The following is a 26,755-nucleotide window of genomic DNA, read 5'->3' as shown; positions in this document are numbered from 1 at the left end:
CTCTACTTCAAGTGGATGCATCCAAGACGGGGCTCCTTCTTCCCCCAGCTCCCAGTAGAGGGCTATGGTTTTGCCCCAGAAGGAGCAAGCTGATGGGCATCCCTCATTCCCCTCAGCTCTGCGTTACAGAAGCTGGATTCCAGGCAAGCACAGCAGAGAGGACTGGGGTCACTTCTCCCGCTCATTGGGCAGAAGCCCTATCCTAGGCATGGCAGCCTGCAGGTGCTAGACCCCAACTGCCCCCATGCTTGCTCAATCATAAGGAGGAGGTGCTATGCCAAGAAGGGCAAGCCAAGAAGACCAGGAGCTATCATCCCTGCCTACTACCCCACTTGTGGAATGGGGCTGTCACTGGAGGAGAAGTGGGTCACTGTCCCTGCTCCCAGCTGCAGTGCGATGGCACAGTGGTTTGGCCCAGGGGGTGAGGCAGGTCAAGAACAGAGCACTGCCACTCTTCCTAAGGGACTGGCCTTATTTGGCACAGAGTGTAAGGAAGTTCATGCCTAAAGGCACTGTTGAAAACAATGGAGATTGTTGGGAATAAGCATTTACGAGGAGGATGGTAGTGCCGAGATACTAGTAGTAACAGTACCCCAGCTAGAAGAAATTTAACAGACTGAATCGGGGAAAGACACAGATGAGAAAAGAGCCTTTGTGGAGGTTGGAGTAAGCCTCAAACATGGTTAAAGCCCTGCCCCTGCAAAGGGGTCCAACTTTAATCGGATCAGACTGTAGAGCACTCTGTGGGCCAGGGCATTGTTATTGTTAAAAACAATAGAGCAATCGGCTAGCAATTAGTGAAGGCTAACAGCTGGGACTGCTTCAAATAGAGGCAGATGGGTCCGAAGCTTAAAGGAGAGATCAGGGAAAGAGACAGTCAAAGAGAGCCCAATTAAATCCACACCAGCCCTGGTGGTGGGAGAAACTGTATGCATGCCCAAGGCAGCACTCTGTGAAGAGTGACATCAGAGGCTGCACACTGAAGGGGAATAGACTTCACTAAACTAGTCCAGACAAGTCACTCAACAAATAAACAAAAAAGCAAATAACAACAAGCCCCAGAGGGGCATGGGAATAACTACCTAGGGTTACTACAATGTAAGATTACAGGACATGCAAAGAAAAAAGTATGACTCATACACGGGCGGGGGGTGGGGGGAGCGGAGGGGGGAAGCAGGCAATAAAAACTGCTTTTGAAGGGACTAGACGTCGACTTAGCAGACAAAGATTTCAAAGCAACTATTATAAATATGTTCAAAGAGACATATATAAAACACTCCACCCAATAAGAGTGAAATATATAGTCTTCTGAAGTGCACATGGAGCATTCTCCGGGATAAACCATATGCTAGGCCACAAAAAAAGCCTCAACAAATTTTAAAAGGATTTACCAAAAAAAGAAAAAAAGTTTTAAAGGAATTTAAATCAGGCAAAGCATGTGTTCGCTGACCACAATCAAATTAAATTTTAAATCAATAAGCGAAAGAAATATGGGGAATTCATAAATATGTAGAAATTAAACAACACACTACCAAATAACAGATAAGTTAAAGAAATCACAAGGATATTTAGACAATACTATTGAAAACAAAAGCACAACATAGCAAAACTATTTTTTTTAAGGCAGCAGCAATTGTTTAATAACATAGCAAACTTAAGGGATGGAGCTAAAGCAGTACTTAAAGGGAAATTTGTATCTTTGTTAAAAAATAAAAAAGATCTCAAGTCAATGATATTACCTTCTAAGGAAACTGAAAAAAAGAAGAGCAAACTAAACCCAAAACAAGCAGAAGGAAGGAAATGATAAAGATTATGAGGCAGGAAAATAAGGTCTGGAGGCAGGGAACATAAGGCCAGTTCACACTTCAGCTATGACAGGAAATATCCTCTCCATTGGGCTTATGCTGTAAATGACTTTGTAACTTTACTTCAAACTCTGCATTTACATAGGGTGTACCCCAAGTAACCAATGGAATCCTCTGGGGGTATTGAAACTCCCAGAAATTCTATAACAGGGCCTTTCAGCCCGTATGCTCGGGGCCACTCCCACACTGTGGAGTGTACTTTCATTTCAGTAAAACCCTTCATTCCTTCCTTGCTTTGTTTGTGCGTTTTGTCCAATTCATTGTTCAAGACGCCAAGAACCTGGACACCCTCCACTGTTAACAATTAGTGCAGAAATAAATGAAATAGAGAATAGACAACAATAGAGAAAAATCAATAAAACTAAAAGTTGGTTCTTCAAAAAGATCAATAACATTGACAAACCTTAGTGAGACTGACCAACAAAAAAAAGGAAATATTACTACCAAACTTTCAGGAGAAAAAAAAATAAAGAAGTACTACAAACAACTTTAGGTCAACAAATTAGATATATTAGATGAAATGAATTTCATGAAATAAATTTGTTTCAGGAAATGAAACAAATTCCAAGAAAGACACAACTACCAAGACACAAACTACTCAGGAAGAAACAAAAAACTTGAATACAACTATAGCAAGGAAAAATATTGAAATTAGTAATTTTAAAACTTCCTGCAAAGAAAAGCCCAGGCCCTGATGGCTTCACTGATGGATTCTATCAAACATTTGAAGAATTAAAATCAATCCTTCACAGACTTTTCTAAAACACAGAAGAGGAGACAATACTTTCCAATTCCTCTTATGAGGCCAAACTTATACCAAAACCAGACAAAGATATCACAACATAAGAAAACCATAGACCAATAGCTCTTATGAATATAGATGCAAAAATCCTCAAAAAATATTACCAAATGGAAACCAGCAACATAGAAGGTGGATTATACATCATGACCAAGTGGGATTTATCCCAGGAATGTCAGGTTGGTTTAACATCTCTGAAATCAATCAATATAATATACTGTATTAATAGAATAAAGGGAAAGAACACATCATTTCAATGTATTCAGAAAAAGCATTTGACAAAATCCAACACTCTTTCACAATAAAAACACTCAATAAACTAAGCATAGAAAGAAACTTCCTCAATGTAATAAAAGGCCACTACAAACAAATACACAGCTAATATCATACTTGATGAAAGACTGAATGCTTTCCCCAGTATCATGAACAAGACAAAGACATCTACTCTCTTCACTTTTATTCAACAGTGTACTGGAGGTTCTAGACAAGGCAATTAAGCAAAAAGAAAAAAAAGGAAAAGAAAAGGCAGACAGATTGGAAAGGAAGAAGTAAAATTATTCACAGATAACATAATCTTGTAGGTGGAAAATCTCAAGAAATCCACTAAAAACCATTAGAACTAATACGTTTATCAAAGTTCACAACACAATGTCAGTATATAAAAGTCAGTTGTATTTCTATACACTAGCAATGAACAATCCAAAATGTAATTAAGAAAACAATTCTATTTACAATAGCATCAAAAACACCTAGGAATAAATTTAACAAAACAAGAGCAAGACGTGTATACTGAAAGGTAAAAAACATTGTTGAAATTAAAGATCTAAATAAATGGAAAGACATCTCAAGACAGCCATAGTACCCAAATTGACCTACAGATTCAAGGCAACCCTACCAATATCCCAGCTGCTTTTTGGTAGATATTGACAAATCAATCCTAAAATTCATATGGAAATTCAAGGGGCCCAGAATAGCCAAAACGATCTGGAAAAAGAAGAAGAAAGTTGGAGAACTCACACTTCCCAATGTTAAAACTTCCCACAAAGCTACAGTAATCAAAATTGTACAGTACTGACATAAGGATAAACATAGAGATTGTGAAATATAATTAAGAGTCTAGAAATAAACCCTTTTATTATGGTTAACTGATTTTTTGATAAGGGTGTCAAGAAAATTTAACAAGGAAAGTATAGTCTTTTTAAGAAATGGTGCTGGTGGCCGGGCACAGTGGCTCACACCTGTAATCCCAGCAGTTTGGGAGGCCGAGGCGGGCAGATCACCTAAGGTCAGGAGTTTGAGACCAGCCTGGTCAACATGGTGAAATCTCATCTCTACTAAAAATACAAAAATTAGCCAGGCGTGGTAATGCATGCCTGTAATCCAAGCTACTACTCAGGAGGCAAAGGTTGCAGTGAGCCGAGATCGTGTCACTGCACTCCAGCCTGGGTAACAGAGCGAGACTCTGTCTCAAAAAAAAGAAAAAAAAAATTGGTGCTGGGATAACTAAATATCCACATAAAACAGAAAGAATTTGGAATCTCACCTCCCACCACACACAAAAATTAACTCAAAATGGATCAGACACCTAAATTTAAGAGCTAAATGTATAAAACTCTTAGAAGAAAACAAAGTAATAGATCTTTATGACTTTGGATTAGGCAATAGCTTAGATACAACACCAAAAACACGAGCAACCAAAGAGAAAAAATATATCATTTTGACTGGGCATCACCAAAATTAAAAACTGCTGTACTGCAAAGGACACCATCAAGAAAGGGGAAAAGACAACCCACAGAATGGGAGAGGGTATTTGCAAATAATATACCTGATAAAGGATTTGTATTTAGAATATATTCAAAAAACCTCCTACAATGCAATAATAAAAAGATAAATAACTCAGTTTTTAAGATGGGCAAAGGATCTGAATAGACAATTCTCCAAAGAAGATCTACAAATATCCAATAAACACATGAAAAGATGCTTGACATCATTAGTCATTAGGGAAATGCAAATCAAAACCACAATGAGATTCCATCTCATGCCCTCTGGGATGGCTATAATCAAAATGATAGACAATAACAAGTGTTAGAGAGGATGTGGAGAAATTGGAACGTTCATCCATTGCTACTGGAAATGTAAAATGGTGCAGCCACTTGGGAAAACAGTTTGGGACTTTCTTAAAATGTTAAACTTTTTTAGAATTAGTTTATGACTCAGCAGTTCCACTCCTAGGTACACACTTAAGAGAAATAAAAACATACATGCACAGAAAAACTTGTATGTGATGGCTCATAGAAGGATTATTCATAGTAGCCAAAAAGTGGAAACAACCCAAACGTCCATCAGCTTATGAATGAATAAATACAATGTGTATATCCATATAATGGAATATTATTCAGCAACAAATAGATGTTCAGTACTGATACATGCTACAACATGGATGAGCCTCCAGAACATTGTGCTGAGTGAAAGAAGCCAGACACAAAACATCACATATGTGTCCATTTCTACAACATGTTCAGAATAGGCAAATCTGTAAAGACAGATAGTAGATTGATGGTTGCCTAAGGCTGTTAGGTGGCACAGGGTGGCTACAGAAGGGAATGGGGAATGATGCTAATAGGTATGTAGTTTCTTTTTCAGATGATGAAAACGTTCTAAAATTAGATTGTGGTGCTAGTTGTACAACACTGTGAATATACCAAAAACCATTGAATTATACACTTTAAATGGGTGAGTTACATGGTATGTGAATTATATCTCAATAAAGCTGTTAAAAATATAGTGATGAATTCCAAGAGAATCATGTGGTCTCCTCGTAAAGGTAAAGTCACTTTTTATCTATATATTGTAAGGGACAACATGCACGCTAGTGTCATTGTTGCCACTGCAGTGAACACCCTGATTACCTACCTGTTCCCATTCATGCTCTGTTAAGTGTTCAGTAGGAGATCCATTTGTTTTGATTCTTCCATGTGCATTAAAAGTCACACCTACTTTATTGTGCTTCGAGTCAGTGTCATGGTCTCTGTTTGTTTCCGTTGGTGGTATCAGCACAGATTTCATCTATAAAACAAATTCATGCTTTAGTCCAACCCTCTGCTTATTCTGCCACATACAGAGACTTCAGTCCCAGGTGGGATTCTTTCTATGTTGTGGTGCCACAACCCAATGAAAAACACACGGTCACTTTTTGCATCTCGTCCACCTCCTATATCTCACTCATCCACTGATGTCTGTAAAGTGGGTCTGTTACATTGTTGGTACATTTTCCAATTACAGACATTGCCTATAAAGAAAGAGTTTCTGTGTTTCACTGGAGTTTCTCTATAGGTGTTAAACACATTCTGTGGCATCCACACAGAAAATGGAAGATACCAAGGTAGGGGCAACGAGTCTCCTTATTGAGCCTTTATCTAGCCATAGGATCTTCAGGAGTTCAGAAACACCTCTTAATAGAGTGGCTGCTGTGCATTTTGTTATGCTTTCCAGAAGAAAAGAGAAAAGGTACATCTGTGTCCAAGAAAGTTCTTAAAGGGGACATAGGTTGAAAACTTCAGAAGCCCTTCCAACCTAAATGCATTGTGGTTCTCAGCCTGACTCTGCCAGCCATTGACGATGTTCTCTAATCTTGGCAACAAAACTGCTGCGTTTCTTTGGAAAACAAAACGTCTTTCTGATAGGGCATCAATTACTAGAATCCCTCTTGTTCCCTTACACAAGCAGAGACTGTAATTTTATACTTGTTTCTTTGTAGCACCATGTCTTTAAACAAAACAATATTAAACAATACTTCTGTTATACTGGTGGCCGTGGTTCAGTGATAGACAAATTCTCTGTGGTAGGCACTTAAGTTTCCTTTTTTTTTTTTTTTTTTTTTTTGAGACAGAGTCTTGCTCTGTCCCCCAGGCTGGAGTGCAGTGGCGCGATCTCGGCTCACTGCAAGCTCCGCCTCCCGGGTTCACGCCATTCTCCTGCCTCAGCACTGACTACAGGCGCCCGCCACCACGCCCGGCTAATTTTTTCTATTTTTTAGAAGAGACGGGGTGTCACCGTGTTAGCCAGGATGGTCTTGATCTCCTGACCTCGTGATCCGCCCGCCTTGGCCTCCCAAAGTGCTCGGATTACAGGCGTGAGCCACTGCACCCGGCCAAGCACTTAGTTTCTTTTACAAACTAGAGTGTGTAGGAAATCTTACCTTTATTTTTCAAAAATGAAATTGAATCTTATTCTGAGGTCCTGTCTCATTGAGCTAGGTAGAAATTCAAGCTCAGCTATTGCTAGCTAGTTCACAGCCTACCTGCCCTGTCTCCTGCCAGCAAATGTTCCCATTAGGGGCAGAGCAGAATATTCTGGGAGGACCCTCTGGACTTGGGTCCACACAACTCACTTCTTTTTCCCTTTTTCTTTCTTTCTTTTTTTTTTTTTTTGTAAAGATGGGGTCTTGCTATGTTACCCAGGCTGGTCTCGAACTTCTGGTCTCAAGTGATCGTCTCACTTCGGCCTCCCAATGTACTGGGACTATAGGCATGAGCCACCGTGCCCAGCTGTACACAACTCATTTCTGATGAGCTCATTGAGCAAGGCCACATGGTCTCTTAAGTATGTGTGGCTCTGAAGTTTTCAAGGCCATTTGGGATCAGGATACTTTGCCCCAGCTCTCCCTAAGGCACTACACGACCATTTTCCCCCAGGGAGTCTAGTAGCCATCTTTCTGCAAATGCCTTGCTGGGGAGTTTGACAAATAATAAACCAGAATCTTAGTTTTAGAAAATCTTCCTTCATTCTTTAATCCCTCTGCATTGACCCCCCTCAACCTGCCCACCTTACAAAATACCTTAAATGAACCTAGAATAGAGGTTGTCATCAAATTCCCCCAACCCTTCCCAACCCCTGTTAACAATGATACCATTACGACCGCAGGTGTAAACCAGGAAGTATGGTCCCTCCTGCCACAGAGGGTTGGAGGGTCCTATGGGATGGGAAAGTGGGGATTATAAAACTGGACTGGAACAATCTACTTTTATGTCTCATCTGATAGAGTTCCAAATGGTTGAACCTATCATTTTCACTACAGTTCAATGATATTTAATACAACAAGTATGTGTTACCAGTTCAACCTCACTCAAGGAAGGGTAGAAGACACAAACAATATACAAGTTGAATTTCTATCTTTAAAGCCAGTCTAAAGAGCAGGTAGAACAGTTATCCCTGAAGGGGGTGAAACTTTAGGTATCCTGAGAAAATGGCTGGCCCACAAACTCTCCCCAGGGTCTGTATTGGTGACTGAAACACAAACCTCAGAACCAAGTATAAGGAAAAAAGAAGAGAGAACTGGAGGAGAAAGCTATATGTTTAGTAGTATATGCCATTTTCTTTTCTTTTCTTTTTTTTTTTTTTTTTTTTGAGATAGTGTTTCACTGTCACCCAGGCTGGAGTGCAGTGGCTTGATCTTGGCTCACTGCAGCCTCTGCCTCCTGGGTTCAAGTGATCCTCCTGCCTCAGCCTCCCAAGTAGCTGGGATTACAGGTGTGCACCACCATGCCCAGCTATTTTTTTGTATTTTAGTAAGGACAGGGTTTCACCTTTTTGGCCAGGCTGGTCTTGAATTCCTACCCTCAAGTGATCCGCCCACCTCAGCCTCCCAAAAGTGCTAGGATTACAGGCGTGAGCCACTGCGCCTGGCCACCATTTTCTTCATATAGGTAATTACATTTAATCCTCCCAAAAATCCAATATGGTAGGTATTTTTATCTTCAGTTTATACGTGTGGAAACCAAGGATTAGAAAACCTCAGTATGTTGCCCAGTCACCCAGGAAGGGGCAGAGGCAGGATGTTAACCTAGTTCTGTCTGTCTAATCTTAGAGCCTCACAGTCTTTACTATGTTAAGGTGGCCCTCAACTTGGGATCTCCACAGAGCTAGTGAGGGACATCCCAGAGGCATCTTCTCAATATCTCAAAAAGCCCTCGATAGAGCTGGCTGCTCAGGCTAACCTCAGGAAAGCAAAAGTGTTCAATCTGGTCAATTGGAAGAGGCTGCCATGACTGATTAGCACTGTAGTCATAGGGCAGGTGGTGATGGAATGTGGCATTCATGCCCTGTGTTCACCAATATTTGACTGACAAAGACATCATGTTCCCTTGTGCTCTTGGTTAGAATCTAATCCACTCATTATGTTAATAATGACTATTATATCTTGATCAAAATGTCTTATTGGCTTGATTACTCACTGATATAATGAGAAAGGTACCTTAAACTTAGAGTGGGCTTAAGTTTTATTGCAACTGGGTTTTGTTGTGTTTGAGACAAGGTCTCTCTCTGTCATGCAGGCTGGAGTGCAGTGGTGCGATCATAGCTCACTGCAATCTCAAACTCCTGGGTTCCAGCAATCCTCATGCTTCAGCCTCCCAAGTAGCTGGGACCACAGGTGTGCACCACCACACCTGGCTAATTTTTTCTTTTTTGTAGAGATGACATCTTGCTATGTTGACCAGACTGGTCTCAAACTCCTGGTCCCAAGTGATCTGCCCACCTCAACCTCCCAAAGTGCTGGAATTACAGGGGTGAGCTACCATGCCTGGCTGCAACTGGGATTTTTTTTTTTTAGAGTAAAAGGAGGTGCTATTAATAATTACAATAGGACAACAGGTGTAAGCCAGGAAGCATCATCATCAGTTGGTGAGGTGGGGAAGGGTGGTATGTAAAATCACCACAGAATCAGGAGAGGGCTGTAAAAAACTTTCTATTCAGTTTTGTCTTAGGTTTACCCTGCTTTGATCTTAAATCCCTCAAGAGATAGTCAGTGACTATTAAGTACTTACTACATCCCAGGTGCTGGGGTTTTATCAATGGACTAGAAAAACAGAGGAAGATAGTAAACAAACAGTACCACAATTTCTTACTTAAATTCGGTAACTGTGATGAAAGATATGTACAAAGGGCTTGACAGTATACAAAAGGGGATCTCATCTGGTCTGGAGGTCAGACTTATTAAACTTTAATTAAAAAGATGGGAGGATACCAGCAACGACATTCTCATTCACATGTGTATAAAGGGTCCAAGAAGTCAAGGTGCCACTGGGGTCACATTTCTGTCTCTATCAGATTAAATTCCAGCTCTAGACCCCACCTGTCCAGGTTGGTTGGAAGTTGATGATCAGTCCTGAGGGGTAACAGTTCAGGTTTCCCACTAGGACCATATAGCATCATCTGGCTCCACTGCTGTTACTGGTCTTCAACCCATGTGGCGCCCCTACACCTCTAGCCTGAGGGCTTCCTCTTGGCTTGAGTAGAGGAGGAAGACAACTCCAATGACCCTGCAAGACCCGTCCAAGGAACCCTTCACTAGGCGTGAGATCTTCACAGTCACCACATAGCCACTTGTCTCAGAGGTTCCATACTAGCTCCTGCTCTGCTTGTATTTAACATGATTATTTAAACATTTCAAAAAAATATTTCCAAAAAAAGTATCCTAAGTTATTTGATGTGTATTATGTGGGAAATCGTATCAATTCAGAAATAAACTGCACTTATATAAGTGACTCCACTTATATAAGGTACCTAGAGTGGTGAAATTCGTAGACAGAAGGTAGAATGGTGGTTGGTGGTTGCCAGGGGCTGGGACAGGGGAGAATGGGGAGTTAGTGTTTAATGGGTCCAGAGTTTCGGTCTGGGATGATGGAAAATTCTGTAAATAGATGGTAGTGATGGTGATGGTTGCACAACAATGTGAATATACTTAATACCTCTGAACTATACACTTAAAAATGGTTACAGTGGCAAGTTTTATGTTATGTATATTTTACCACAATATAAATGAATGAATTGAGGTTTTAATTTTAAAAATCAGGATTTTTCACTTTTAGAAACTACATAAAATGCCAACATTTCCTCATTTTTCCACCCTCAACATGAATTTAAAATTTTTTTCCATATATAGAAGTTACCCACTTAGTTCTTTATCATGCAGTCATAGATTTTTCTTAAAATTTATACTTTTATATACTCTAATAAAATCTATAATCTTTTTAGAGTTACAACCACTAAAACACAAATCAATTCAAAATAATAAATGAAGAGGTATGTATTCCCTTCTAAATCCCTGAGAGAAGATTCATGCCAACATTACTTCTTACCTTGTTCCTCTCTACACGGTGGAGTAAATTCAAGTCTGTGGTCTCTGATATCCCACCATGGATGACCAGGATTTCATTGTCAACGATTGTACCGATTGGGAGCCAGGCATAGAATTCTTCCAAGATTTGTAAGATTCTTTTTCCATGTAGCTGTAAGTAAGAGCTTGAGTAAGTTTTGTTTTTCTGACAGGTTCAGTTTATTGAATAGTCCCCAAGTATGGACAAAAAGTAATGATTTTCAGGCCACTCAAAGGAAGTCAGCAAGGAGTCACTAACCAATTAGCATGTATTCATCATGTCTTTTTATTCTGTTTTTGTTTTTGTTTTTTTTTTGAGATGGAGTCTCGCTCTGTTGCGCATTGGAGTGCAGTGGCGCCACCTTGGCTCACTGCAACCTCTGCCTCCCAGGTTCAAGCGATTCTCCTGCCTCAGCCTCCCAAGTAGCTGGGACTAAAGGCGTGTGCCACCACGACTGGCTAATTTTTGTATTTTCAGTAGAGACGGGGTTTCTCCATGTTGGCCAGGCTGGTCTCGAACTCCTGACCTCAGGTGATCCGCCCACCTTGGCCTCCCAAAGTGCTAGGATTACAGATGTGAGCCACTATGCCTGGCCCTTTATTCTGTATTTTTGATACTATGACATCTTGGGGCCTTGCTGACTCTGGAGGAGAGACTGTCCCTCCCGGGGCTAGCTAATTCCTAGATAGTCAATGACTCGCCCTTCATATGCAAACCAAGCAACCGAGAGCCCACACCCCAGCTACCTTCTTTATGGAGCTCTCACACTCCTCATCCCGGGGCCAGTTACCAGACAACTAGGGACAACCTCTGTGGCCCAGAGCAGTCTGAAATTACTCAAATTGGTCAGTCCTAAACCAGATTACACTCAGATGCTTCCCTCCACCCTCCCTCTGCCTTCTTTTTTTTTTTTTTTTTTGAGATGGAGTCTCACTCTGTTGCCCAGGCTGGAGTGCAGTGGCACGACCTCGGCTCACTGCAACCTCCGCCTCCTGGGTTCAAGTATTCTCCTGCCTCAGCCTCCCGAGTAGCTGGGATTACAGGAGCATGCCACCACGCCCAGCTAATTTTTATATTTTTAGTAGAGACAGGGTTTCACCACGTTGGTCAGGCTGGTCTCGAACTCCTGACCTCAAGTGATCCACCGGCCTCAGCCTCCCAAAGTGCTGGGATTACAGGTGTGAGCCACCGTGCTCAGCCTCCCTCTGCCTTCTGACCAACTCTGGTGCTTCCCCACGCGGTCTCCCAGAGTGGCTTGCAGTGCCTCCATTTTCTAGAGAATTGTAAATAAAAATCTCTTCCTTCATGACAGTCATTTCTGTGTCTGCATATTTTACCACACCTAAGTAAAACAAATCCTTGGTACCTTTGAAGCAATGAAATATGTATCTATGCTAAAACTTACACAAAACTCACAATGAAAAAGTGTGGTTTAATCCAGAAAGAAAATATAAGACTCTACTGTGGCCAGGGCTTCCTGCTGTGCTTGTATTTTATTGGCATGCATTCTGACTAGTTGGCCTATTACCTTTCCTAAAGCATCAATCTGGTCTTTCTTGGCTCTTTTTAAATTTCTCTATAGAAACAGCAAAGTGAATACTAAAAAAAAAAAAAAAAGCATGTCTTACCTTATATTTATGCAAAATTTCTTTCGTGAAGCCATACCTAAAAAAAAATGGGATTTAAATGATTTGATTGTTGATAACGCCTACTTCCATGAGTCATGCAAAAAGGGAAGCCCTTGGCATCTCAGTATCTATCACAAGAACTCAAGAAACCAGAGTTCAGTTGGAAGTGTTACTTACCTGAGTCCTTGCTAGGCATGATTGGAAAGCATAAAAGCAACCAACGACATCATCCCTACCCTCAAGGAGCTTATAGTATAGCTGGGGAAAGAAGATAGATTTCTATGAAACAATTATAAGACAACTTAAGAAATATGTGGTAGGCACAGGTTTTGTAAACGCTACAAGTATGCAGAGAAGCATGCTGTGGTAGCTGGGGGAAGCTGTGTGAGAGAAGACTTTTCATTTAGATAGAATTTCTCAGACATCCTATACAGTAAATGATTGGAAAAAAGAAAAGACTGAACAAAGAAAAGACTGAACAACTTGTTACCTAGCAGGTAACAAGTTGGCTTGTTATGCTCTCTCTGATACAGGTCCCATAATGGTATTGAGGGTTTTAATAGAAAGTGTCAGGAACCTTAATGCCTGAATAGCAGTAGTGAAGGGAGATTCAATGATGACAATATTTCTGTTACCTTTCCTTGCTTTAGGATAACAGTACATGCCCTTAATATCCAACACTGTGAAGATGAAATGCAATACACTCACTCTGGCTTTCCATGGAAATCATGTCACATCAGGCTTCTACAGTGTAACGTTCTGTTTTCTGAGATGAATTCCATCCTGTACTCACCAAAGGTGTCCATACTATTTAATCCAACAGATGCCTTGCAGTCCTCACCTTCCTCGCCCTCTCTGAAACACTAAATACAGCTGACTCTACCATCCTTCTAGAAAACTTTTCTTTCCTTGGATTCTGTGACCATAAACTCTCTTGGTTTTCCTCCTGGCTCTTCTGAGCCTCTTTTGCAAGCTCTCCTCTACCTCACCTTAAATGTGGTAGTTCCTTCAGATTACATCCTAGGCTCTCTTCTCCCCTCACTTTCTCCTTTGGGAATCTCATCCCTGCCCGGGCTTTCAGTTTTTATCTAGTGTTAATACCACAGGATGATGTTCCAGGCCACACTTCATTTCTGATCTCTGGACATGTATGTACACTCAACTGCCTACTCAATAGTACCTCAAATCAGCTTACCCAAAACTGAATTCATCATTCCCCCTCATCCCAACCTCTCTCCTCTTTCCACATTCCCAATATCGTGAATGATGCCGCTGTACCCCCAAACTCAAGCTGGGAATCTGGAGGTCATCCTTGATTCCCTCCCCCCACCCTTTTTTTTTGTTTTTGAGACAGAGTCTTGCGCTGTCGCCCAGGCTGGAGTGCAGTGGCGCTATCTCAGCTCACTGCAAGCTCTGCCTCCCGGGTTCACGCCATTCTCCTGCCTCAGCCTCCCGAGTAGCTGGGACTACAGGCGCCCGCCACTATGCCCGGCTAATTTTTTTGTATTTTTTAGTAGAGACGGGGTTTCACTGTGTTAGCCAGGATGGTCTCAATCTCCTGACCTCATGATCCACCCGCCTCAGCCTCCCAAAGTGCTGGGATTACAGGCGCGAGCTACCATGCCCGGCCGATTCCCTCCTCTTTCAGCTCTCCCATATCCAGTTACTGAGCCTTAAATCATCATTGCCTAAACTCCTCTTGAATCTATTTCTTTGCATCTCTATCACCACTACCCTAGTCTAAATGAGAACCCATTATCTATCCCTTTAACCTTCAACTACTTCCTAATTGACGAGCGTGTATTCACTCTTGCCCCTCTCCAACTCTCTCCTCCTACTGCATTTTAAAACACAAATTTTATGACATTATTCGGTGACATTGTGTTGTTCTTGGAAGTCCGTCCAAATTCCTTTGAACCATCCAATCATTTCTTATGTCTCCAGCCCTATCAGGCACCACCCTGTCCCTCAGTCTATGCTCCTGTCCTCCTGAACTTCTTTCACATCTAAACAGTCTTGTCCTGAGCTCTGCATAAGTTGTCCCCTCACTGTGGAACACTGTTTCCCATCCCCCTCTATGGCTCTTTCTTGATTGCCTAATTCATTCTTCAGCTCTCAGGCTAAAGCCATATTTCTATGGGGGAACCTTCCATCATCCCTCAGACAAGGTTGGATTCCCCCTTTACAAACTCATCACACTTGAAAAACCTGCTCAACACGCATCTTCCCTGCTAGATGTAAGCTCTATGAGGGCAGGGGCCACGTCTCCTTCATTAACCATTATAGACACTAGATAAATACGATAGGCAATAAGGATAAACAGCATGCCTAAATAAAAGTATCAAGCTATATTATATATAATGGGCCTCTGATAATAGTCCTGGGATTTTTTTCCTTCATAGTTTTAGCATTTGCTTCCATACCTTGAGAATTAGAATTGAAACTCTGTACTCAAGCCAGGCGCCAAAACTGCCCCAAAGACAAAACTAATCAGTTGCTGAGCTTTGATCAAGGCACCCAAAAGCCCAGGACCAAAAGCATGAGACATGCCATATCTTCCACTGTCCTAGAGCAAACTGATTTCTGTTTTTCATAAAACAAGAGATTTTTTAAAAGAAGAAGAAAAAAAGAAGGGAAAAGGGAACATTTGTCACCTACTGTGCCTTCCAGCAAAGATTCTTAAACCATCTAACCAATCTTTATTCCTCAAGTTTCTGGTGAGTTAGATAGTTGAAATGCTGTGTTCGTAAATATGTTTATGAGCAACAATGCCAGAAGCAATTATCATGTCATAAAACAATACACGCATCGGTGAAAAACATGGAACTAGTTTCTGAGACAACATCTGAGGCAAGCCAAGAGTAGCAACAGAACGACTGCATCCAAATCTGTTCGAAGAACCTGCCACACCTCCAAACCTGGCCTCACACACCTACCCAACACACAATTTAGCCTGTGAAGGTCGGGCATGGGAGCAAGAGAAAGAACATAATAGAAGGGAGAAGAACGGACAGAACTGGAAGAAAAGATAGGAAGGGAGTTTCAGGGCAACTGATACTCAGCAGAATAATGGGGGTGGTGAAAGGGGTAAGAATTGAAGTCCTCCTTGAGATCCCCCTCATCCCTCTTCCAATACACTCACTTCTATCTCTATTAGGAATTAAATATGGCAGCATTTTCCAGAGTGCGAAACTTTTAAAAGAGAAAATCTAAAGGCCTGGGTTACCTCAGATTCATCATAAAATCTTCGTGGTTCCCTCTGTTCAAGTGCAGGTCATTGGGGTAGACAAGAAAACTCACACACAGGATCATTAGGATCTCTATGGAATTCTTTCCTCGATCTACAAAGTCACCATTAAAAACATACGGGTTCCTCTCTGAGGGGAGACCATTCTGTGGAAGGAGGAGAAGGGAAAAAACAAGGAATTAAAAGAATATACTTTTAAAGTCAGGCCGTGTACATAACATCCCTGTTAATATGGAAAAAAGAGGCTGAGTCAGGTTCTTCCACCGGGAAAAATCTGCTCTCTCGCTTGAGCCAGTTTTACTCTTCCACGGCAGGCATCTCCTGCAAAGGCCCTGAAAGTGACAAATCTGCTTGGGAATGGAAGATTCCAGGGAGGATGGGACGGTGCTAATTCTACCCACCACCTACTATGAGTTTCCTCTGAAAGGAGCTGATATTTGTCCTATCAAACATGGCTATTCTGACCTCTTCCTTCTCTTCTGAAAAGAGGGAAACTTCTACCCAAGGAAGACCACCAAACTACGAGCCAGAAATCCTTTATTCTAAGGGGCCCTATGGTCAGCTCCTTGGGGCTGTGATTCCCCCAATTTGCAAAATGGGGATGGCACTACATCCCTCCCCAGATCACCTGGGAGAATGGAAATGAAAGTACTCAGGCAAGTGAAGAGTGCTATGTGATGTGACTGAGCAGCTCGGATGTACTGCCAGCGAGCAACTACACCAGGTGTGCAGAGCCCGGGTATATTCTCAGTGATCACTGACCGGGCCATATCAGTTTTTAAGTATTTTTAATATCACTCTTGAGTATGAAAAAATACTTTTAAACACAGTGTTAGCATGAAAAGCAGCAGAGATCAGAACAAAGGCCTGGTCTTTAAAATAGCTATTAATTCATTTAGTACTATACTATAAAACTCTAAGACAAAACAAACACATGTAACATGCCTACATTTTCTCGATGTCATGTTTGATAGGGAGATGGCTATTTCCCTACTGCATGGCTTCTACTGCATAATAAGACAAATTCAAATGTTTTAAAAATATATTACACAGAGACAAATTTAACTACTCATATATAAAAATGCATGTCCTCCTTCAAAAAGGTTACCTTCGCCAGGCATGGTGGTTCATACCTTTAATCCCAGCACCTTGGGAGGATGAGGCGGGCAGATCACTTGAGTTCAGGAGTTTGAGACTAGCCTGGCCAACGTGACGAAACCCCATCTCTACTAAAAATACAAAAATTAGCCAGGCGTGGTGGTGTGCGCCTATAATCCCAGCTACTCAGGTGATGAGGCAGGAGAATTGCTTGAACCCGGGAGGCAGAGGTTGCAATGAACCAGGATTGCACCACTGCACTCCAGCCTGGGCAACAGAGAAAGACTATGTCTAAAAAAAAAAGAAAGAAAAGACCATCCTGGCTAACACACGGTGAAACCCCGTCTCCACTAAATATACAAAAAAAAAAATTCTCCGGGCGTGATGGCAGGCGCCTGCAGTCCCAGCTACTCGGGAGGCTGAGGCAGGAGAATGGAGTGAGTCCGGGAGCCGGAGCTGGCAGTGAGCGGAGATCGCACCACTGCACTCCAGCCTGGGCGACACAGCAAGACTCCGTCTCAAAAGAGGAAAAAAAAAGAAAAGAAAAGAAAAAAGAAAAGAAAAGAAAAACAAAATGGCTACCTTCAGGAAATAATACACATATTCTAGAAATATTAATCTTTTTCAAATGATTTTCAAATTCCTCTTTTGTTAGATTTCTGACTACATTTAAAAATCTTATTAAACTCAGTATCTTATTATGTATATACATTTTAAATTGCTCATATCAGTATAATAGAAATAATTGAAAAAATTTAATACAGGTTACAGCATATAATTTAGGGATTCTAGAAAACATTTATACAATGTAACATGTTCTGAAGGCAATTTCAAACAAACAAATAAACAAGCAATGGCATAGTGTGATAAGAAGGTGAATTCTCTGGTCCAGGTCCATTCATTACCCATGTGTCCTTGGGCAAGTTATGTAACCTTTATGAGCTGTAGTTTTCTCATCTGTCAAGTGAGGATGATATCTTCCATACTTACCACACACGGCTATTTTGGAACTCAAATGAGACCATGTATATAAAATTGCATTAAAATGGTAAAGCAACATACAAATTAAGAGACTCATTTTATTATGACCATGTTATTTCTAATTCTAAGATTCCAATATTTTCTTTTTCTTTTTTTGAGATGGAGTTTCGCTCTTGTTGCCCAGGCTGGAGTGCAATGGCGCGATCTCAGCTCACCGCAACCTCCGCCTCCCAGGTTCAAGTGATCCTCCTGCTTCAGCCTCCCGAGTAGCTGGGATTACAGGCACCTGCCACCACGCCTGGCTAATTTTGTATTTTAAGTAGAGATGTGGTTTCATCATGTTGGTCAGGCTGGTCTTGAACTCCCAACCTCAGGTGATCCGCCTACCTCAGCCTCCCAAAGTGTTGTGATTACAGGCATGAGCCACTGTGCATGGCCCCAATATTTTCTTATGTATTAATTCATATAAGCTTATTCACACTGGGCTTAGTGTAAACCAGTTGCAAAAATACAGGCTATCGTTCATCAAAACGTAAAGAAGTCTGGGCACGATGGCTCACAACAGTAATCCTAACACTTTGGGAAGCCGAGGTGGACGGATCGCTTGAGCCCAGGAGTTCAAGATCAGATTTGGAAACATGGCGAAACCCCTTCTCTACAAAAAGTACAAAAAAATCAGCCAGGTGTGATGGTGCACACCTGTAGTCCCAGCTACTCAGGAGGCTGAGGTGGGAGGATTGTCTGAGGCCTGGGAGGTCGAGGCTCAGTGGAGCTGAGATCACACTGCTGTATTCCAGCCTGGGTGACACAGTGAGACCCTGTCTAAAACAAACCAACCAACCAACCAACCAACCAACCAACCAACCACAAAGAAAGGGGGAAGGATTCTGCATCTCTGATCTCTGTTACTCTTCCACCAGCCTTCAGCTGTCTAGGGTGAGTAAGCTAGAGGAACCTGAGGACTGTTGAAGGCTATAGACTCTGTTGGGATGTCCAGGTCTGAAGGGGGCTAGAGGAGCAGCGGCAGGGAGCCCTGGGGTGAAAACATGGAAGAACTAGGCCTGAGGGGATGGTGGACACTTGATTAAGGGGGTGGCTCTGCCTCAGCATGTGTGTGATCTTGGTTTGGAGGCAGGGGGAGCTGAAATGTTGGATCCTACTAGAAAAAGTGTAGGAAGATGTCTTCCACATCCTTGAAACGAAAAGAACAGATCACTTGCATTTAGGGGTACCTAGAAACACAGAGACTTCTTTTTCACACTCGATGCAGGAGTAGAAACTGTTGTGCCTCCAACTATGGAAAGGCTTAACCTAGCTTAAGCAGAAAATAGAAAATGGAAATAAGCTAGTACCTAAGAGGATCCGGCAACTAGAGAGAGACAGACCAATCAGATCTACTAAAGCAGATGGTCCCCAATAAAACAGGACTGCTGGAGGAAACAGAGAACTAGTTTGTTTTTAAAGTAATAAGAAGAACATACAAGAAAGAACAAAAACTTATTAATTCTTGGCATTAAGAATATACTATTCAAACTTAAAATATCAATGGGTTGGCCGGGCACAGTGGCTCATGCCTGTAATCCCAACACTTCAGGAGGCTGAGGTGGGTGGATCACTTGAGGTCAGGAGTTCAAGACCAGCCTGGCCAACATGGTGAAACCCCATCTCTACTGAAAGTACAAAAAATTAGCCAGGCGTGGTGGCACGCACCTGTAATCCCAGCTACTCGGGAGGGTGAAGCTGAGGCAGGAGAATCACTTGAACCTGGGAGGCAGAGGTTGCAGTGAGCTGAGATTGTGCCAGGGCACTCCAGCCTGGGCAACACAGTGAGACTCTGTCTCAAAAAAAAAAAAAAAAAAAAAAAAGCAATGGGTTAAAGGTAACTAGAAGAAAGAATGGTTGGGAAAATACATTATTGGCCTGAAAGAGCAAGCAGATGAAAAATCTCTTACTCTCATCATTTTGAGTAAAATCAAAATGATGAAAATCAGGAAGAATAAATAAGAGACTAGCATTCAAAGCCAAGAGACTTAATATGCCAATAATAAGCATTTCAAAATCAGGAAAAAGGAACAGATGAAGAGGCAATAATTACAAAAATATGAGAGAACATTTTCTATGGTTAAAAAAAAGACTTCAATTTGAAGCTTGAAACACGACTTCTACACACAATTGATGGGGACAAAATCCCTACCACCTGGTAAAAAGATTAGACGAGGCCAGAGAGAAAGAACAAGTTACAAAAGGAAAAGAATCAGCCTAGCATCAGACTTCTCATCTATAGTAGTGGGAGGTAGGAGACGGTAGAATAAAATTTACAAATTAAAGAGGAAAAAGGACTTTGAACCAAGATTTCTACAGTGGCCAAGACATTAAGTTCTCAGGGTGATAGAAAAGTACTTGCAGATGTGTAAAGAGATCAACTATCACCAACAACATAAATGCTCAGGGTGAAAGACAGACATGCAAATGTGTAGTATTTAACATCACAAAAACAGCAAACATGTATCAATTGCTTGTTATGTACCAGGCACAGTTTTAGGTGCTAGGAACACAGAAGTAAACAATACAAAGTCCCTGTATTCGAGGAGCCTGCATTCAGAGAAGATAGCATCCACATGCCCCACTGAGGAAAACACTCAACAAAACACTGTAACTAAATAACCATACTAACATTTAAAAGTCCCTGGCCGGGCGCCGTGGCCCACACCTATAATCCCAGCACTTTGGGAGGCCGAGGTGGGCGGATCACCTGAGGTTGGGAGTTCGAGACCAGCCTGACCAACATGGAGAAACCCTGTTTCTACTAAAAATACAAAATTAGCCAGGTGTGGTGGCGCATGCCTGTAATCCCAGCTACTTAGGAGGCTGAGGCAGGAGAATCGCTTGAACCCGGGAGGTGGAGGTTGCAGTAAGCCAAGATCATGCCATTGCACTCCAGCCTGGGCAACAAGAGTGAAACTCCGTCTCAAAAAAAAATAAAAATAAAAAATAAAAGTCCTCAAGTCAGGGAAAGATCAAGAGGAGAGAATACAGATGTGAACAATGAATCATGAAATATATAATTATATATAAATCAATATGACAATATGAAACTTGCATTTAAGTATTAAGCAAAGATTCCAGAAGTAGAAGAGACATGCTAGGAAGGAAAACCTAATAATGGTCAGGAACTAAAACTATGGTATGAGCAATAGCTAGGATTTACAGGGGAGGTGAGAAGAGAAAAATAAAATGCTCTAGAAATCTTAACTGAATGGGAGACATGGAGTGTGTAAACAGTTATCTTATTGAGAGAGAGAGAGAGGACTGCAGTGGAAGAATAAAGTTATAGCTATTTGAGAAATACACACATATACATTATTTACCAGAAATGTCAGAAGTGGGAAGGTAACCACTAGTGAATGGAAAAGCAGAGTAAAAATTCCAAATAAAACAATAAAAAATAAAACTTTACCAAAACAGCAAAAAGAAAAGGAAAAGGGTGAAACAAAGTGAAATAGCAAAGTAGAAGAAAAAATTTCAAATATATCTGTTGTTATACTAAGTGTGAATGGATTAAATTCTCTCATTAAAATACCAAGATTACCAGGCTGTGTTAAAATACAAAACCCAGATATATAGTGTTCATGAGAAATATACATTAAAAAGAAGGTAAGAGAAGGTTGAATATGAGGTAGATGCAACAAAAAGAAAGCAAGAATGGAAATATTAATACCGGGCAAAGTAGAGTTTAAGATTAAAGTACTAAACAGGATCACAAAGCAACATTATGTCATAATAAAAGGCACTTTATGAAAAAAATACAACTCATGAACTTATAGTCAATAAAAGAACACATTTTTGCTTCATACATTTAACTACTAAATGCAAGAAGAAATTGTTTAAAAATACACAGTGTGTTATTCAGATTGAATTACTGCTTTAAAATAATGTCCATAAATTCTTTGGCACTCTGTTTACAAGGTGAAGCCTAATTTGCCTCCCCTTGAGCAGAAGCAAGACTTACTGACTTGCTTCTCATGAAGAGAAAAAAAAGCAAAAGTGATGATGTACAACTTTGGAGACTAAGTCATAAAAGACACTGCAGCTTCCTGCATGCTTTCTTTCTTGGATCACTCACTTTGGGGAAAGCCAGCTGCTCTGTCACAAGAAGAATCAGGCAGCCTTGTGGAGAAGCCCATGTGGCTGTTCTGCCAACAGTCAGTGAGGAATTGAAATGCTGTGTCTACAGCCACATGAATGAACCATCTTGGAAATGGGTCCCTCAGCCCCAATCAACTTTTCAGATGACTGCAGCCCTGGCCAATAGTTTGACTGCTACCTCATGAGAGATCCTGAGCCAGAATCCATCCAGCTAAGCTTGACCCAAATTTCTGACCCACAGAAACTGTGAGATACTAAATGTTTATAGTGTTAAGTCATTAAGTATTGAGGTAATTTGTTGCACAGCAACATTCACAGCCAAATTCTACCAGAGGTACAAAGAGGAGCTGGTACCATTCCTTCTGAAACTATTCCAATCAATAGAAAAAGAGGGAATCCTCCCTAACTCATTTTATGAGGCCAGCATCATCCTGATACCAAACCCTGGCAGAGACGCAACAAAAAAAATGATTAACATATATAATAGAAAAAATATGGGAAAATTGAATATACAACCAATAAACTTGATTTAATATATGAAGAACTTTGTGTATTACAAATAAGAGAATACAGCTGACCCTTAAACAACACAGCTTTGAACTGCATGGGTCCACTTATATGTGGCTCTTCTCCCTCTGCCACCCCTAGACAGCAAGACCAATCCCGCCTCTTCCTCCTCCTCAGCCTACTCAACATGAAGATAAAAACCTTGGTGATGATCCACTTCCACTTAATGAGTTGAGTAGTAAATATATTTTCTCTTCTTTAATATATATATTTGAGAGAGAGAGTCTTGCCCTGTCGCCTACATTGGAGTGCAGTGATGCAATCTCGGCTCACTGCAACCTCTGCCTCCCAGGCTCAAGCGATTCTCTGTAGATTATCTGTAGATTCTCAAGCGAATCCCTGCCTCAGCCTCTGTAGTGTAGCTGGGATTACAGGCCTGTGCCACCAGGCCTGGCTAATTTTTGTACTTTTAGTAGAAACGGGGTTTCGCCATGTTGGCCAGGCTGGTCTCGATCTCCTGGCCTCAAGTGATCCACCCACCTCAACCTCCCAAGGTGCTAGGATTACAGGCATGAGCTACTACACCTGGCCTAAGATTTTCTTAATAATATATTTTTTTCTCTAGCTTATAATTATATAACATACAAAATATGTGCTCATCAACTGTTTATGTTATTGCTAAGGCTTCCAGTCAACAGTAGGCTATTAGTTGTTAAGTTTTGGGGGAGTCAAAATTATATGTGGATTTTCAACTGTATGGGGAATTGGTACCCCTAACCCCAGCATTGCTCAAGGCTCAACACTGTAATTAATTTTTTATATGTCCACGGAACTTTTATGAGAATCAGTCTCGTACTTGACTTCAAAGAACTCTTAAGAAATTCAAAATAAGAAAAATGTCACAGGATACAGTCTCATAAAAATGTGATTAGAAAAAAAGTCTGGCTCCTTGAATTAAGATTCTTGGAAATTAAAAATTATCATCTTAATAAGTATTATATCAAAGAGAAAATTAAAAGCAAAATTACAAGTGCAATAGAAGGCCTAGTTAACACTAAAATCAGAAAAGATGTGTAGCCTTAAATGCCTTCATTATTAAAGATGTTCACGAAAGATGGCATTCATCTTAGGAAATTAGAAAAACAATAAAACCCATCAAATAAGGAGAAGAGCTGAAACTAAGGAAATAGAAAAGAAATAAAAAGGATAATTTGGGTTTATATAAACCCAAATTTTATTGGTTCTTTCTTTGAACCAATTTTATGATTTCCTTGAAAATCATCCATTTCCTAGCAAAACTGATTCAAAAGAAGAGGAAAACATGAACAGTGCACTGGCCCCATGTGGCTTTCTAGCAGAACTCTATTTTAATTTTCATGAGCAAATAGTTTTAATGTGACTTAAACCCATGGTGCCCAACCTTGACTGCACATTAGAATCACCTGGGTGACTGCAGTGTATAGCCAAGTTTGAGTTTGCAACCCAGGGATTCAAATTATTATAAGTAAGAGAAAAAGATGAAAATCTCTCCAACTCATTTTATGAAACCAGTATAACCTTAATTTCAAAATTTGAGGAAAGCATCCAATAGTCTAAAATTATATTTATTATGTTTGAATGGTAAACACACTTTCTATTGCGATGACAGATTTTCTTGTATTAAAACTTCTTATCTCGAATTAAACCAGAATTTGTTGTGGGTAAATTCTTTGCTACCTCTGTGATGTCTTATTTCACCTCTACTATGAGCAAAGAGTAATGAATGTCTTCAGTTAAACCTCATTTTAAGCCCCAAATAGTAATGGTCAACTAATCCATCCACCTTATGCAACACACTTGACACTCAATAAGCCTTAACCTTTTCAGAAAATCTTCAAGATTTTCTTCAAGAATCTCACATGTCTTCAAGAGATTAAGACTTGTGATAATAAAGCTCATTCAAGAGAGTATGTCACTATCTCTGAAAGTGATTCTAAAAGGAGTCCTGAATGTATACTGAACTCCTTTCAGTGTTAAGCCCCTCAAGACAACCGCATCAAAGAGGGCAAGACTCATTTGGATGTGTAAGAACTGCCCTGTTGTTCCAGGATTAGTCGTATTACTTTATATAGTTTGGGTTTGAATCCACTTTAGTCTTAGAGTAATAAGGGAACTAAAAAGCACACAGGATGATGAGGAACTAGTCTACTGGGGTGTGAGTGTCTAGGATATTTAGGATTCCGGCTACTGACATTTCTCCAGGTTTCCTTCAAAGAAGCAAAACCTCATGCCATAAAACATGCTTCACCCAGTTCCAGTAAACGAAACCCTCTGGCTCATTCTGCAGCTAATATGCAACAAACCGTCTATGACATGGTGATTAAGTTGACAGATACAGAAAGTCCAGAGTAGCTACAACTCTGAACTGCACTCAGATGACCTGTAGGGGGAAAAATAGCAGACCATAATTAATTAACTTAAACAGAGACAAAAACCAGATGTTTCCCACAGTCTCGCCTATTTCCTATGGAAGCATTTTACAACAGACATCTGGAAATTATCCCAGTGAATTTGGACATTTCCTGAAGGCACATCAAACAATAAGCTCTGGTCAACTCCACGTTAATTTTCTTCTTCTGCAAACCCTATTTCAGAGGTCTGTTCTGATTGTAACATACTACCTTCACCTCAAAAGGAAAATAAAATTGGCCACTGTGGCAGTGTGAAGCATTTCAGTGATAGAAAATAAAGAAAATGTTTGACTACCTTGACAGCTGGAAAATTATGGGTGTAGTGGGTGGAGGATGGTGGGGAAGAGAGAAAAAAAAGGAAAACAAGGCAGTAGGGCTTCCACTGGATAGCATCAGGATGGTACCCACAGGGTTAAGAGTTCATTAGCATCTCTCTGTTCACATGCATCTCTTTTTCAGCGATAGGAGGTCACCACTCATGGCATCAATTTAACAAACTAATTTGGTGATATTGATCTAAAATTTCTAGCTTTCTATTCAATGAGGGAAAAATGTCTTGTAATTTTACTAAAGCTGAGGCTCTGAAAGAAGTATTTCAAACTGGTCACTCTAATTAAGCAACAGGGCTGATTAAAATTAATCTTTTCAGAAAATAAAATCTAAAAATATGACCTAACTAATGATATGTAAATTACTTCACTTGATGATAAGATTATATTTGAAGCCATGTAAAGTTGAGATGCCCTTTTAGCAAAGGTCTGTTGTTAAGAGTATGGTACCCAGTGGGGAAGAGTCCTTTTCAAACCCAGATGCGATTCTGAGCTGAAAATGTTTCCCTTAGTATTAAGGTGCTAGCTGATACAATTTTTAAGGACAACCAAATATTAAAGAAACCAAAATCTCAAAACAATCAATGAAGAACAATAATTGCTACAAATCCCATCATTTATTGTAGGGCACCACAAAAAGTGTCTGAGAATAAAATCTTTCATGATCCTCCAAAACTTCCCTTCATGATTTAGGCACTTACTAAATTACTAAAATTCTTTGAAGAGATCGTCAGAAATGTCTTCTCTTCCAGGAAGTCTTCCATAAGGTTAGGTGCTCTGCCAGTGGGTTCTTTTAGGACTCCATGCTGATCCCAATCATAACATGTCCAACCCTGAACTATCTTGTCTTTTTATCAGCCAACCTTCCCCACTAAACTGTGATGTCTTTGGGGCCAACAACTGTGTTTTAGTCATACTGTATTGCCAACCCTTAGTAGAGTGCCTCATTCATAATAGGTGTTTCATAAATATATGTTAAATCAACTTTGTATGGTCCTTTAGTGTTTATATGATACCTTGAACATTACAGGGACCAGATAAAAGTTTACTGAATGAATGCATTAGTAGACAGATTCACTTTTGCATATGGTGAGTTATAATGATAGAAGTCTTGAACCAAACCAACCACTTGGATGAAAAGAGTAATATGGTGAGGCCTCTCAGTGACCCTACATTAGAACAGTCTCTCAGGCTGTGCCCTTAGTTGGCTTTGGGCCAGCCCCAGCCTTGGAGCCTATTCATGCTATGCTGTATAAAAGAACTGATGAGGAAGAAAGTGTCTAGCAAACCACCAATTGAGATGAATTAAAATTTTGTCTTAATTCAAAGCCTGAGGTTTTCCTACTTACTCTTGTGAGTGATGGAGAGAATCAGTTAGTCATAGTATAACATAAACTTTGGTCACTTATAGCTCCAAAAATCTCCAACAGGATGTAGTTTGCCAAACTATTCCCCACAATTCAAGATCTATTGCTCTTAAAAACAATAATAAAATAAAAGTAAGTGAAAGCACGGCCACTAACTACTTCTAAACAAAAGATTAGGAGCC

The 26,755-nt window shown here is 40.6% G+C and overlaps 1 protein-coding gene across 19 annotated transcripts in view, besides 1 other annotated feature; it reads right to left on the bottom strand.

Moving 5' to 3' along the window:
• Positions 1-26,755, bottom strand: part of PPEF1 (protein phosphatase with EF-hand domain 1) — a 152,851-nt gene that overhangs the window by 33,067 nt on the left and 93,029 nt on the right. For 18 of the 19 annotated variants that reach the window (XM_047442194.1, NM_001378382.1, NM_001377986.2 and 15 more), the window contains 4 exons: positions 15,675-15,841; positions 12,449-12,485; positions 10,803-10,952; positions 5,578-5,730 (listed from right to left, as the gene is read on the bottom strand). In XM_047442194.1, the coding sequence (XP_047298150.1) occupies positions 5,578-5,730; positions 10,803-10,952; positions 12,449-12,485; positions 15,675-15,841 (507 nt within the window). The remainder of the gene's footprint in view (positions 1-5,577; positions 5,731-10,802; positions 10,953-12,448; positions 12,486-15,674; positions 15,842-26,755) is intronic. The other variant, NM_152224.2, reaches the window with a different exon arrangement.
• Positions 501-1,084: an enhancer, noted in NCBI's record as "OCT4-NANOG hESC enhancer chrX:18811885-18812468 (GRCh37/hg19 assembly coordinates)". NCBI's record gives its function as "activates a minimal SCP1, AML or CMV promoter by ChIP-STARR-seq in naive H9 embryonic stem cells {active_cell/tissue: H9 hESC(naive)}" and the evidence as "EXISTENCE:reporter gene assay evidence [ECO:0000049][PMID:30033119]".

Source organism: Homo sapiens, chromosome X, assembly GCF_000001405.40.
Source record: "Homo sapiens chromosome X, GRCh38.p14 Primary Assembly".
Taxonomy (NCBI): Eukaryota; Metazoa; Chordata; class Mammalia; order Primates; family Hominidae; genus Homo; species Homo sapiens.
This window is presented reverse-complemented; position numbering and strand designations above follow the sequence as displayed.